Here is a 15027-nt window from a genome sequence, read left to right on the forward strand (position 1 = left end):
GGCTCTTGGGTTCAAGCATTTCTCCTACCCCGGCCTCCTAAGTAGCTAGGACTACAGGCACGAGCTACCATGTCTGACTAATTTTTGTATTTTTAGTAGAGTCGGGGTTTCACCATGTTGGCCTGGCTGGTCTCGAACTCCTGACCTCAAATGATCCGCCTGCCTCGGCCTCCCAAAGTGGTGGGATTACAGACATGAGCCACCACGCCCAGCCAAAAAAAAAAAAATTTTTAAGTAGTTGTCAGGAAATATTTTATACTGAATAATTAGATTGCAAATTAGAAAATAACAGGCTGGGCACATAATCCCAACACTTCGGGAGACCAAGATGGGAGGATTGCATGATGCCAGGAGTTCAAGACCAGCCTGGTCAACATGGTGAGACCCCATCTCAATTAATAAAAATTTGTTTTTAATTATTTAAAAAGAAAAAATCACAATAGAACCAAATGTATCTATTACTTCCTTCTCAAAACATGTTCTAATTTTTGTGGGATTACAGCATCAGGATTTACTTCTCCAAATGTGTCTTAAAGATTTTTATCTTCTCCCATTTTCTTTGTGTGTTTTAGTGAAAAGTCTGTCCCCATCTCCTGAGTCCTCGGCATCGCCAGTTCCATCCACTCAGCCGCAGCTCACAGAAGGATCACATTTCATGTGTGTGTAGTCTTAGAAGAAGTACGTCATTTCCCTTTGCATTTGTGCTTTAGTTTTTTACTTGAATTTTATGACTTATCTGTTGGTTTAGTGAATCAAAACTGGGATTAGTTCTGGACTGTACATAGGGATAGTTGGCAGAACAAGTAGGCATATCTTGGAACCAGGGTTGGTAACAGATTGCTAACATTGGCTCCTCTGATGATTTGCTGTGTGACAGCATTTTCTTTGTCTCTTATTTCATCATCCAGAAAAACAACAAAATTTGGAGGGTATGGCCTGTGCCAAGACTTGCAGTGTTGTGCAGCTGTGCTTCTACTTAATGTTCCTTTCCATAGCGACCTGAGAATTTTGTTTAAGTCATTACACGTTGACTATGTAATGCTTTTTACAGTTAGGGTGACATGTCTGCCCACTGGGAGTTTGCTAATTATTGTAAATGACAATGAAATGTTTATGGTACAGCCAACTTGATGGAATATTAAAATCTTTAATGTCTATCTGATATTATTTCTAAGTAATTGAATTCTATTAAGTCAGGGAGGTAATTACTAAAACCATGGATGGTATCAGGGAGAAGAAGGAATCCTTTCTTGAACAATGTTCCTTAGAGCACAGATTTATAATTGAGAATAGTTTCCTGAATTCTTACTTTTAAACTTTCTAGACAATTGCTAATTTTAACCTAGAATTTAGTACTTATAGCGTACTCTAAAAGTTTTTTAACTTTTTATAAAAGCTCTGGTGTAGAGTAAGAATGTTATGCCTTTTTCTGCATTTTCTTTCTCACAGCATCTACCATATCTAGTAAGTTTGGTGCTTTAGGATTACCACCATTTTCTGCTGAACAGCAGCAGAAACATATAGAGACATTATAAGCATTAGTACTAACATCTTTTTGTTTTTTTATTTTCTTGTTTTTTTTATGTTATTTCTTTTTTCAGAGATGTCCCCCATGCTGGAGTGTAGTGGCATAATCACAGCTCACTGCAGCCTTGACCTCCTGGGCTCAAGCAGTCGTCCTGCCTCAGCCTCACAAGTAGCTGGGATCACAAGTGCACGCCACCACACTCGGCTGATATTTCGATTTTCTTATAGAGACAGTCTTACTAAGTTGTCCACGCTGGTCTCAAACTCCTGAATTCAAGCTACCCTCCCACTGCATGAGCCACTGTGCCTAGCCTCTTTGATTTTCACATTCTCAAAATATTTCTTTTATTTTCTCTCCTTTTTTTTTTTTTTTCGAGGCAAGGTCTTACTCTGTCACCCAGGCTGGAGTGCAGTGGTGCAAGATCATGGCTCAATGGCTCACTGAAGGCTGACCTCCCAGGCTCAAGCAATCCTCCCACCTCAGCCCCCTGAGTAGCTGGGACTACAGGTGTATGCCACCATGCCAGGCTAATTGTTTTGCAGAGATGGAGTTTTCACCATGTTGCCCAGGCTGATCTCAAGCTCCTGAGCTCAAGTGATCTGTCCGCCTCAGCCTCCCAAAGTGCTGAGATTACAGGTGTGAGCCACCACACCCAGCCTTTTTTCTTCCTTTTCAAGCATTTTTTAAATTTCACTAGCTTTGGGTACAAGTGGTTTTGGGTTACATGGAAGAATTGTATAGTGGTGAAGTCTGAGATTTTAGTGCACCCATTACCCGAGTAGTGTATGTTGTACCCAATCCTTCACCGACCTTCCACCCTCTCCCTTCTGAGTCTCCAAAGTCCATTATACCACACTGTATGCCTTTGCATACCCATAGTGTAGCTCCAACTTATAAGTGAGAACATATGATATTTGGTTTTCCTTTCCTGAGTTACTTTACTTAGAATAATGGCCTCCAGCTCCATCCAAGTTGCTGCAAAATACATTATTTTGTTCCTTTTTATTGCTGAGTAGTATTCCATGGTGTATATAAACCACATTTTCTTTATCCACTCCTTGGTTGGTGGACTCTTAGGTTGGTTCCATACCCTTGGAGTTGCAAATTGTGCTGCTATAAACATGCATGTGCATGTATCTTTTTTATGTAATGACTTGTTTTCTTTTGGGTCGATACTCAGTAGTGGGATTGCTGGATCAAATGCTGGATCTACTTTTAGTTCTTTAAGGAATCTCCACACTGTTTTCCGTAGTGGTTGTACTAGTTTACATTCCCACCAGCAGTGTAAAAGTGTTTTCTTCTCACCACATCCATACCAACATCTGTTGTTTTTTGACTTTTAAATTATGGCCATTCTTTTTTTTTGTTTTTGAGATGGAGTCTCGCTCTGTCAGCAGGCTGGAGTGCAGTGGCGTGATCTTGGCTCACTGCAACCTCCTCCTCCAGGGTTCAAGTGATTCTCCTGCCTCAGCCTCCCCCGTAGCTGGGACTACAGGCGTGTGCCACCACACCCAGCTAATTTTTGAATTTTTAGTAGAGATGGGGTTTCACCATGTTGGCCAGTATGGTCTCGATCTCTTGACCTCATGATCCGCCCACCTCGGCCTCCCAAAGTGCTGGCGTGACCCACTGCACCCGGCCAATTATGGCCATTCTTGCAGGAATAAGGAGGCATCTCATTGTTGTGTACCTTCTTTTGAGAAATGCCTATTCGCGTCATTTGCCCACTTTTTGATGGGATTATTTGTTTTTGTTTTTTTTTTCTTGCTGATTTGTTTTGAGTTCCTTCCAGATTCTGGATATTAGTCCTTTGTTGGATGCATAGTTTGCAAATATTTCCTCCCATCCTGTTTTCTGGAATCTACTTCCTTTCACACCTTATTGTAGGAACTATAATCTGTGCCCTTTTTTTCAGCCCAAAGTATTTTGTTGTCTTTTCATATTTGTAACTTTTATTTGAGATTATGTCTACCTGGAACCTCAAAGAGGCTTCTGTTTTTGTCAGTTGGTATCTGTGCAGGACTGAAGTGCTTGCTGGAGAGTTACAAATAACCTAACTGTGATAGTCTTACCTGTGTTCTGCCTTTGTCACTTGTGTTTAAGCCTTTTTTCTTTTTTCTTTTTTCTTTTTTTTTTTTTTGTTGAGACCAGGTCTCACCCTGTCACCCACACTGGAGTGCAATGGTGAGATCTTGGAGCCTTGCCCTCCTGGGCTTAAGTGATCCTCCCACGACAGCCTCCCAAGTAGCTGGGACCACACGCCTGTGCCACCAAGCCTGGCTGATTTTTTTGTATTTTTTGTAGAGTAGGGGTTTCACCGTGTTGCCCAGGCTGGTCTCAAACTCCTGAGCTCAAGCGCTCTGCCCGCCTCAATCTCCCAAAGTGCTGAGATTACAAGATTGAGCCATCACGCCTGGCTATGTTTAAACTTTTAATTTAATATGTTTAGAAATGACTGTTGAGGCCAGGTGCGGTAATGCCAGCACTTTGGGAGGCCAGGGCTGGTGGATCACTTGAGGTCGGGAGTTCAGGACCAGCCTGGCCAACATGGTAAAACCCCATCTCTACTTAAAAATACAAAAATTAGCTGGGCATGGTGTCAGGCGCCTGTAATCCCAGCTACCTGGGAGGCTGAGACAGGAGAATCGCTTGAACCTGGGAGGCAGAGGTTGCAGTGAGCCGAGATCACACCATCGCACTCCGGCCTGGGTGACAGAACAAGACTTTGTCTCAAAAAAAAAAAAAAAAATCTGGGTGTGGTGGCCCACACCTGTAATCCCAGCACTTTGGGAGGCCGAGGCAGGCAGATCACCTGGCTCCTGACCAGCGTGACCAACATGGAGAAACCCAGTCTCTACTAAAATTACAAAATTAGCTGGGCGTGGTGGCACATGCCTGTAATCCCAGCTACTTGGGAGGCTGAGGCAGGAGAATCGCTTGAACCCAGAGGCAGTGGTTGCAGTGAGCCGAGGTCGTGCCATTGCACTCCAGCCTGGGCAACAAGAACGAAACTCTGTCTCAAAAAAAAAAAAAAATGGTGACTGTTGCTACTGGTGACGTAATAACACAAAACATAGGAAAAATAAACATTGGACTCATTTGATTTCATCTATGTAAAGACTTGATGACCTCTTAGTAGAAAAATGTATACATTAAGAGCCATTCACATAATATTTTGATTCAATAAACAGATTATGACTGTACACATATCCTTCCAATAATAAAGGATATTCAGAGTTAAAACTCAAGTATATTTCCAGGTTCCTTAAATTGTTATAGGATTTTATTTTGTTTTCTTCTTATTCCAAGAGCAGTGGCATACTGTAATGAGGTATGATTATTGTCGGATATTTTCTAGTCTCATGGTATGCAACTACCACAAATAACTAAAGGCATGAAAACTTGTATTATTTCATATCTTCCTATTATGCATATGCCATCTTTCTGAACTAGTGGTTTTGGCAGGATTTAGGAAACCTTTACAAATGACACTACGATGTAGGCAGCTCAATAATTATTACGTATTTTAGTGGAGTTATGCAAATGTTTGCTCATTTTGTTGATCTTTTGGATTCAGCTACGTTTGGTACTTTTTTTTTTTTTTTGCAGTTGCAAGATTTAATAGAGTGAAAACAGAGCTCCCCTAAAATGGGAGGGGACCCAAAGGGGGTTGCCGTTGCCAGCGGTACATTTTTTATTCTGTATTGCTATTTATAATCACATTATGTTGGCCGGGCACAGTGGCTCACGGCTGTAATCCCAACACTTTGTGAGGCCGAGGCGGGCGGAACACAAGGTCAGGAGATCGAGACCATTGTGGCCAACATGGTTGAAACTCCGTCTCTACTGAAAATACAAAAATTAGCTGGGCGTGGTGGCATGCACCTGTAGTCTCAGCTACTCTAGAGGCTGAGGCAGGAAAATCACTTGAACCCGGGAGGTGGAGGTTGCAGTGAGCCAAGATTGCGCCACTGCACTCCAGCCTGGGCGACAGAGCGAGACTCAGTCTCAAAAATAATAAGAAGGCCAGGTGCAGTGGCTCACACCTGGAATCCTAGCACTTTGGGAGGCCGAGGCGGGCGGATTGCCTGAGTTCAGGAGTTTGAGACCAGCCTGGGCAACACGGTGAAACCCCGTCTCTACTAAAATACAAAAAATTAGCTGGATGTGGTGATGTGCACCTGTAGTCCCAGCTACTCAGGAGGCTGAGGCAGGAGAATTGTTGGAACCCAGGAGGCAGAGGTTGCAGTGAACTGAGATCGTGCCACTGCACTCCACCCTGGGCAACAGAGCAAGACTCCGTCTCCAAAATGATGATAATAATAATAATAATGAAGAGAAGGAGGAGGAGGAGGAAGGAAGAAGAATTGCATTACATTATGTTTCCTTGTGGGGCCGGGTATAGTGGCTCATGCCTGTAATCCTAGCACTTTGGGAGGCCAAGGCAGTCAGATCAGTTGAGGCCAGGGGTTCGAGACCAGCCTGGCCAACATGGTGAAACCCCGTCTCTACTAAAAATACAAAAATTAGCCAGGCATGGTGATATGTGCCTGTAATCCCAGCTAGTTGGGAGACTGAGGCAGGAGAATCGCTTGAACCCAGGACGCAGAGGTTGCAGAGAGCCGGGATCATACCACTGCACCCCAGCCTAGGCGATAGTGATACCCTGTCTCAAAAAAAAAAAATTGCATTATGTTTCTTTGCTTTGTGAATTAAGCTATGGAAATGAAGAAAAATATCCTTTGATGTATTGTATTTTAGGATTTTCATGGCCATGCTTGTCAGTTCTGTTGTTACAGAATGTCACCCTTAGTTACTTTGGGAAATGGTAATTAATTAACGTTGCAGGTGTCAAAGTAATTTCCTCTCTCTTATTTTTCAGCTATACTGACTTCTGTTGAAACCATTCAAAGCTAAAGACATGGACCTTCAGCAGTGTAAGAAGATATTGTACAGTATATTTTAAATCTATGAAATTCATAGTTCTGATGCTTTTGGTCACAGAGCATCATTTTATCACTTCTGGAAAATGTTTATTCCAAAACAGCTTTAATGGCCCATATGTACACTTCGTAATCTCAAGGTTATTATTCTGACACCAGCTTGCTGCTATGATTTCAGAGCACATAAGTAAAGGTGCTTTTTAATGTGCAGTCTATTTCCAGAGCTTACTTAGTTGCTGATTTCCAGATTTCGATGTTTCTTAAGTCTAGGTGAATTTATATATATATTTTTTTGCTTTTCATTTTCTAAAGTTAGTTATTATTTCCATTGAAGCTTGTTTTCTTTTTTTTCTTCCCATTTTAGCTACTGCAGTGCTTTTGTTTCACACTTGATTTGTAAAAATTTTATATATATGTATTTAAAATGTGCCATTTTATTGCTAAGTGAAGTATGTCCTGTTTTCTGCTATAATTCTTTCTCGGTCAGATTGCAATGTCAGCAGTTACTGCCACACTCCTGTCAGCTTAAACACAAATGTTACTGCTTATCTTTTCTTAAAAAAAAAAAAAACAAAGTGTAGGTATTTTGAAGTACTGGGCTTATATTTCATTGGAATACATGTGTACAGCAATAAGCAGGTTTCCAAATCCGGTACTTAGTTTGTGTACAAATGTAATTATGTTCATTGTGTATATATTATACAATGAGCACATGTAATGTATTAAAGGCTACTTACTATTGTTTAAATGCAAATGTTCATATCTCATTTCTTTTTTTATCATGTTAAATAAATGTTGATGTTCTTAAATCAGTGTTAGAATTTTTGTTCTTTCCATCCAAAATTGAAAGTCTTAAGACTCAAGAGACCTCTAGAAGAAAAGGTACTCTGTTAATTTTATAATCCTAGACAACATCTTAAAAGATCCTTGTCGGTCCAACCCTCCCATGTCAAAGTTGAGGACCTTGAGGCTCAAAGAGATCAATTGAGTTGGCCACAATTTAATGACAGAATTTTGACCAGACTATAGTTTTTTCTGACTTTTTCTCTAAGTACATTACATTAGCTCATTACCACTAGAGGAGTTTAGTTTTGTGAAGTCTTTTACCACGTTTCTATTTGCTTCCATGTTTCAGAAAGTAACTTCAAGCATCAGTAGTCCTGCTCTGTTTAGGGATTGGACTTTGAGAGAGGTGTGTAAGGCAGCTGTTTGTCTGACATGGGTAGCTAGAAACCGTTTCATCGTAAGTAGGACCCTCAGAGATCATTTTCTCTTACAATACATTCTTTGCAGATGTTCACGCTCTTCAGAATCAATTACATTTTCTTCCCTCTGTAACCTTTTGTTCATGCTATATATTGTTCCCAGAAAACACGGAAATTTGATGCTTTTGGATTCCTGCATAAAATGGCTGAAACTAAATTGGCACTAGTCAGTCTTTTTTTCCTCCCCATCCTATGTTAAAGAGGATTTTGATTTAATTCAAAATGCAAATGTATAAAAATTCTTCTGCAAACACAATGAAATGAAAATAGATACAATGTATATTGGGAGGTGAAAGAAAACAGAAGTTAAAATGGACACCTCTCTGTGTCCATGTACATATGTGTAATATGTTTACACATACTACCTTTCTCTAAAGGTGTCACACAAAAGTCTTCTCAAAAGAAATAGTCACCAAATTATTATTTCCCTTTAGTCATGATACAATGATTGTTTCAGATCCTTTGTCAGTGTGTTGGGGAACAATTGCTATTATTCGGGTTTTGTTTGGGGTTTTTTTATTTTTATTTATTTATTTATTTATTTTTTTTTTGAGATGGAGTCTTGCTCTGTCACGCAGTCTGCAGTATAGTGGTGTGATCTCGGCTCACTGCAACCTCTGCCTCCTGGGTTCAAGCGATTCTCCTGCCTCAGCCTCCTGAGTAGCTGGGATTACAGGCTCATTTTGGGGGGTTTTGGGGGGATTTTTTGAGATGGAGTCTCGCTCTGTTGCCAGGCTGGAGTGCAGAGGCCTGATCAAGGCTCACTGCAACCTCCGCCTCTTGGGTTCAAGGGATTCTCCTGCCTCAGCCTCCCGAGTAGCTGGGATTACAGGAGCCCGCCACCACGCCCAGCTGATTTTTGTATTTCTTTGTTTTGTTTTTTTGAGATGGAGTCTTGCTCTGTCGCCCAGGCTGGAGTGCAGTGGCACGATCTCCGCTCACTGCAAGCTCCACCTCCCAGGTTCACGCCATTCTCCTGCCTCAGCCTCCTGAGTAGCTTGGACTACAGGCGCCCGCCACCATGCCCGGCTAATTTTTTGTATTCTTTAGTAGAGACGGGGTTTCACCATGTTAGCCAGGATGGTCTCAATCTCCTGACCTCATGATCCACCCACCTTGGCCTCCCAAAGTGCTGGGATTACAGGTGTGAGCCACCGCACCCAGCTGATTTTTGTATTTTTAGTAGAGATGGGGTTTCACCGTGTTGACTAGGATGGTCTCGATCTCTTGACCTCATGATCCGCCCACCACAGCCTCTCAAAGTGCTGCGATTACACCGAGCCTGGCCTAATTTTTGTATTTTTAAATAGAAACGGGGTTTCACCATGTTAGCCAGGCTGGTCTCAAATTCCTGACCTTGTGATCCACCCACCTTGGCTTCCCAAAGTGCTAGGATTACAGGCATGAGCTACCGTGCCCAGCCTTGTTTGGGTTTTTGTGGGAAGGGAGTATATGTGTGTGTGTGTCTCTTTGGTTTTATTAAGCACAACATTTTTTAACTATTCCAAGAAGGAAAAATGTTACTTACTGGGATCCCTAGAAGCCTAGGAAATATGGAGAAAGCAGCATGAACTAGTTGTGATTCTTGTCAACATTTCAGAAAGCCAGATGAAAATCATTTATTCACAAACAGTAAGTCCATCAGGCATGGTGGCTCATGCCTGTAATCCCAGCATTCTGGGAGTCTGAGGCAGGTGGATCACCTGAAGTCGGGAATTCGAGACCAGCCTGGCCAACATGGTGAAATCCTCTCTCTACTAAAAATACAAAAAGTAGCCAGGCATGGTGGCGCGTGCCTGTAATCCCAGCTACTTGGGAGGCTGAGGCAGGAGAATCGCTTGAACCCGAGGTTGTGGTGAGACAAGATCGCATCACTGCACTCTAGCTTGGGCGACATAACGAAACTCTGTCTCAAAAAAAACACAAAAACAGTAAGTCAGCACAGATGCTTATTACATGCCATAACAAAAAGGAATACTAGTTCTTCAAAATTTTTAATTAGATCAGTACCTTCCATCTTACCCAGAGTTTGCCTTATCTAACTCCCCCTTACTGGAGTGGTGCACACACAGTCCTGGAAGTGTGGAGACTAATGGTAAGGAAGGCAGACAGGTTGGCATGGCCTTTACTTCAGGTGGGGAAATCAGCATGAGGGAGCTGCTTCCCAGAGGCTTAGAAGCTTGCTCTGAAGTTCTTAGTGCTCACTCTCCTGGTGAGTTGATGGCTGTCTTAGTGCTCAGTGTCCTGTTGGGTTGATGGCTTTACAAGTCCCTCATACCTACCTACCCCCAGTTTATAGAAAGATGACAGTCATACTGCTATGGTGATCAAAAATGAAACATAACATTTTTTTGCTGGCATACCCTCAAAATTGTTTTTAAAAACTCAGCTGGGTACAGTGTCTCACATCTGTAATCCCAGCACTTTGGGAGGCTGGGATGGGAGGATCACTTGAGGCCAGGAGTTCAAGACCAGCCTGGCTGACATAGTGAGAACCCATCTCTACAAAAATAAAATAAAAAAATTAGCTGGGTACAGTGGTGCATGCCTGTAGTCCTAGCTACTCAGGAGACCAAAGCAGGAGGATCACTTGAGCCTGGGAGATGAAGGCTGCAGTGAGGTGTGATTGCACTGCTGTACTCCAGCCTGGGTGACAGAGCAAGACCCTCTCTAAAAAAACCAAAAAACAAAAACCAACTCTGTACCTCCTTGTACATTTTCAAGTTGACATCTACAACTTTTCATAAATTCAAATAGAAGAAAAGGGCCAAGTGCGGTGGCTCACGCCTGTAATCCTAGCACTTTGAGAGGCCAAGGTGGGCGGATCACTTGAGGTCAGGAGTTCGAGACCAGCCTGGCCAACATGATGAAACCTCGTCTGTACTAAAACTGCAAAATTTAGGCAGGCATGGTTGGGGGTGCCTGTAATCCTAGCTACTCAGGAGGCTGCAGCAGGAGAATTGCTTGAACCCGGGAGGCGGAGGTTGCAGTGAACCAGGATCATATCACTGCACTCCAGCCTGGGCAATACAGCAAAACTCAGCCTCAAAAAAAAAAAAAAAACAGAAGAAAAGGATGCAAGTTCTGACATACTGTCAGTACTGCCTGTTTTTTTGTTTTTTTTCTGAGATGAAGTTTTGCTCTGTCCCCCAGGCTGGAGTGCAATGGCAAAATCCCAGCTTACTGCAACCTCTGCCTCCAGGGTTCAAGCGACTCCCCTGTCTCAGCCTCCTGAGTAGCTGGTATTACAGGTGCCTGCCCACCGTGCCCAGCTAATTTTTGTATTTTCAGTAGAGATGGGGTTTCATCGTGTCGGCCAGGCTGTTCTCGAACTCCTGACCTCAAGTGATCCGCTTGCCTCGGCCTCCCAAAGTGCTGAAATTACAGGCATCAGCCACCGTGCCTGGCCCAATACTGACTTTTTAAATAAATTGTTACATCAGTCTTTATTTTATTTTATTTTATTTTGAGACAGAGTTTCACTGTTGTTGCCCAGGCTGGAGTGCAATGGTGCAGTCTCAACTCACTGCAACCTCTGCCTCCTGGGTTTAAGTGATTCTCCCGCCTCAGCCTCCTGAGTAGCTGAGAGTACAGGCACCCGCCACCACTCCTGGCTAATTTTTTTGTATTGTTAGTAGAAATGGGCTTTCACTGTGTTGTCCAGGCTGGTCTTGAACTCCTGACCTCAGGTGATCTGCCCACCTCAGCCTCCCAAAGTGCTGGGATTACAGGCATGAGCCACCATACCCAGCCCTATACCTTTTTTAATAGGGGTTTTACATCATTCCTTTTTCTTCTTGAACTTTTATTTTTACTTTATTTCTCTTATACTTTGTCGCAATAAATTATGATATGTTAAATTTAATGACTTTAGTTATTTCTAATTCCATCCATCCATTTCTGTGAAATCTTGTTCCTTGGACATTACAGTCATTCACTTCTCACCACCCTGGAGGATTTTACACCCTGAGGTAAGTATGTTTCAGAGAAGTAAGTTTTTCATGTGTAAAGAAGAACTCATGTGAGGCCGGACCCCATTCACTTCTCACCACCCTGGAGGATTTTACACCCTGAGGTAAGTATGATTCAGAGAAGGAAGGTTTTCATGTGTAAAGAAGAGCTCATGTGGGGCCGGACCAGGTGGCTCATGCTGGTAATCCCAGCACTTTAGGAGGCTGAGGCAGGTGGATCACCTGATGTCAGGAGTTCGAGACCAGCCTGACTAACATGGTAAAACCCCACCTCTACTGAAAATACAAAATTAGCCGGGCGTGGTGGCACATGCCTGTAATCCCAGCTACTCGGGAGGCTGAGGCAGGAGAATCACTTGAACCTGGGAGGTGGAGGTTGCGGTGAGCCGAGATAATGCCATTGCACTTCAGCTCCGTCTCAAAAAAAAAAAAAAAAAAAAACTCATCACAGGACCTCTGGAGCCTTGGGGCAGGAAATCAGAGAGAAGGTAACTAGAGACTGAGTTCAAGAAAATTATGAAAATTCTTCTCGCTCACAAACCCTTGAGATGTTTCTGTGTACTGATTTGAAGAAAGCTGTCCCAGACTATTTGGCCTCTAAAATATTTGTAAGTTTATTGATTTGTGCATACTTCTCACTTTACCCACAACAAGGTTTTGTTTTGTTTTGTTTTTTGAGACGGTTTTGTTCTGTCACCCAGTCTGGAGTGCAGTGGCACCATATTGGCTCACTGCAACCTTTGACTCCCAGGCCCAAGCGATCCTCTTACCTCAGCCTTCCGAGTAGCCGGGACTACAGGCACACGTCACCACAGCTAATTTTCGTACTTCTTGTAGAGATGGGTTTCACCATGTTGCCCAGGCAGGTCTCAAACTCCTGAGCTCAAGCAGCTTCTCACCTCAGCCTCCCAAAGTGCTGGGATTACAGGCATGAGCCACTGTGCCTGGCCCAAAACAGTTTTATATAGATTTAGCATATGGCAGAGAGACTCACTTTTGAGCAACTGTATGAATGTGTAAGGAATAAACTGATTCACTTAATGCAGGAACAAATGATTTTTTTGTTATGCTAAAGTAATTTGGGAGGAGTTTTCCCAGAACTGTTTCTGAAAAATGGATCAAATGCTTCATGGATAGGTTGAAAATAAATGTTTAAAGTGTATGATTGGTATTTTAAAAGCAGAAATTTTAAATGTTTTATTTAGTTTTAAAATTATTTACAGTGAAAAGTCAACCGAAAACAAAGTAAAAGGCTGGGTGAAAGGCATGGAGAAAATATGGCAGGACTAGTTTATGTAATTCAAGCCTGAGACAACACATTTAAGAACAGGAGATAGAACCCCCAGCTATGTCCCGGCGCTCAGTGACTCACCAGCTTACTGGAAAGTCCCTCGAGTCCTCTATTAACTAGATTCAGAAAAGCCTACCCAATCTCTTTGAGTGAAAGCTCACTCATTCCAGCCCTTCCCTAGAAGGAGCTTCACCTTCATTCTTCTGGTGTAGGAAACAGTATAGGCGATTATTCTAGCTTGGCAGGAGGGACCCTCCACCAACTCTGTTGCCAGGAAGCCTGAGTTCCTCCAGAACACCCTGTTGCTGCTATGGGGCCTCATTGTATATTGGGGAGGAGCACAGAGGCTGGTGCTAGGCTACCTGAGTTGGAACTGAGCTCTGCCACTTTTACTGTGTGTTCTCAGGCCAAGGTATTCATCCTTCCTAAACCTAAGTTTTTCCACGAAATTGGTCCGTGTCTTAGTTTGTTTTCTGTTGCTTATAACAGAACACCTAAAATGGTATCTTATAAAGAAAAGGAATATATTTTTTACAGTTCTGGAGACTGAGAAGTCCAAGGTCAAGAGGCCGTGTCTGGCGAGGGCTTTGTTGCTGGTGGGTATGCTACAGAGTCCCAGGGAGGCTCAGGGCATCACACACAATGAGAGGCAGAGCGTGTCACCATGCTGACAAGCTAGCTCAGGCCTGTCTTCCACGTACAAAGCTGACAGTTCTCCAGTGATAACCCATTCATTCATCAACCCACGAATAAATGAATCCCTGGCCTCGAGATGCAGTCATCTCTCTCAAAGGCCCCTGCCACATTGAGAATTAAATTTCGACATGAGTTTTGGAGTGGACTGATACTCAAACCATAACAGCCTACTAAGAGTTATTACACTATATGGTTGTAAAGACTAAATATGTTAACACATCAGGTGTAGAATAGTGCCTAGCAGCATATAAATACTTGCTACCATTAGCTGTTATTCACTAAGGCTAACCTCATCTAACTGTAACTGTTTCTAAGTTTACCAGAGCACTGTTGTTAATCATCTTAGTTAATCAGCATTTAATTTTTATTCATTTATTTATTTATTTATTTAGAGACGGAGTCTTGCTCTGTCACCCAGGCTGGACTGCAGTGGCACAATCTCAGCTCACTGCAAGCTCCACCTCCCGGGTTCACGCCATTCTCCTGCCTCAGCCTCCCAAGTAGCTGGGACTATAGGCGCCCGCCACCACGCCCGGCTAATTTTTTTGTATTTTTAGTAGTGACGGGGTTTCACCATGTTAGCCAGGATGGTCTCGGATCTCCTGACCTCGTGATCCACCTGCCTTGGCCTCCCAAAGTGCTGGGATTACAGGCAGGAGCCACCGCGCCCAGCTGTTAATCAGCATTTTAAAACTGAGTCACATGCCAGGAGCCGTGGCTCACGCCTGTAATCGCAGCACTTTGGGAGGCTGAGGCGGGCAGATCACCTGAGGTCAGGAGTTCGAGACCAGCCTGACCAACATGGCAAAACCCCATTTCTACTAAAAATACAAAATTAGTTGGGCATGGTGGTGGGCACCTGTATTCCCAGCTACTTGGGAGTCTGAGGCAGGAGAATTGCTTGAACCCGGGAGGCGGAGGTTGTGGTGAGCCGAGATCGCGCCATTGCACTCCAGCCTGGGCAACAAGAGCAAAACTCCGTCTCAAAAGACAAACAAAACTGGTCACAATTTAGAATGCATCAGACTCACCAGAAGGGCCTTTTAAAACTTTGCTATTGCTGGGCCTCGTCCCTAAAATAACTTATTCAGTCAGTCTGGAGGGAGATCCAAGAATTTGCTTTCTAATAAATTCCCAGGTAATACTAATGCTGATAGTCCAACATCACTTTGAGGTCTAGTCACTTTGAGAACTGGCATATAGTAAGCCTCTGTGTTTATTGGATTTTTGTTTTATTTGTGGGGATAAATTCAGGAGTGTTTATTTACAAAGGTATGCACAGAGTATAGAAGGACTGAAGATTGATAATCCAAGAGCTGTTTTCACTCCTAGG

At 43.0% G+C, this 15027-nt stretch overlaps 1 protein-coding gene across 72 annotated transcripts in view, besides 2 other annotated features; it reads left to right on the forward strand.

The window, feature by feature from the left end:
- The window catches only part of PLEKHA5 (pleckstrin homology domain containing A5), a 246668-nt gene extending 239388 nt beyond the window's left edge, over positions 1-7280 (forward strand). For 65 of the 72 annotated variants that reach the window (NR_169820.1, NR_169818.1, NR_169816.1 and 62 more), the window contains 2 exons: positions 573-678; positions 6411-7280. Coding sequence is in view for 66 of the 72 variants with exons in the window: in NM_001256470.2 (NP_001243399.1) it covers positions 573-667 (95 nt within the window). In the remaining 6 variants the exon portion in view is untranslated. Of the gene's footprint in view, positions 1-572; positions 679-1601; positions 4564-6410 lie in introns of those variants that run through there. The other 7 variants (NM_001385926.1, NM_001385943.1, NM_001385947.1 and 4 more) reach the window with 3 other exon arrangements.
- Positions 12941-13190: an enhancer, noted in NCBI's record as "active region_6073". NCBI's record gives its function as "activates an Ori minimal core promoter by ATAC-STARR-seq in GM12878 lymphoblastoid cells {active_cell/tissue: GM12878}" and the evidence as "EXISTENCE:reporter gene assay evidence [ECO:0000049][PMID:35858748]".
- Positions 13221-13270: an enhancer, noted in NCBI's record as "active region_6074". NCBI's record gives its function as "activates an Ori minimal core promoter by ATAC-STARR-seq in GM12878 lymphoblastoid cells {active_cell/tissue: GM12878}" and the evidence as "EXISTENCE:reporter gene assay evidence [ECO:0000049][PMID:35858748]".

Source organism: Homo sapiens, chromosome 12 (assembly GCF_000001405.40).
Source record: "Homo sapiens chromosome 12, GRCh38.p14 Primary Assembly".
Classification (NCBI taxonomy): domain Eukaryota; kingdom Metazoa; phylum Chordata; class Mammalia; order Primates; family Hominidae; genus Homo; species Homo sapiens.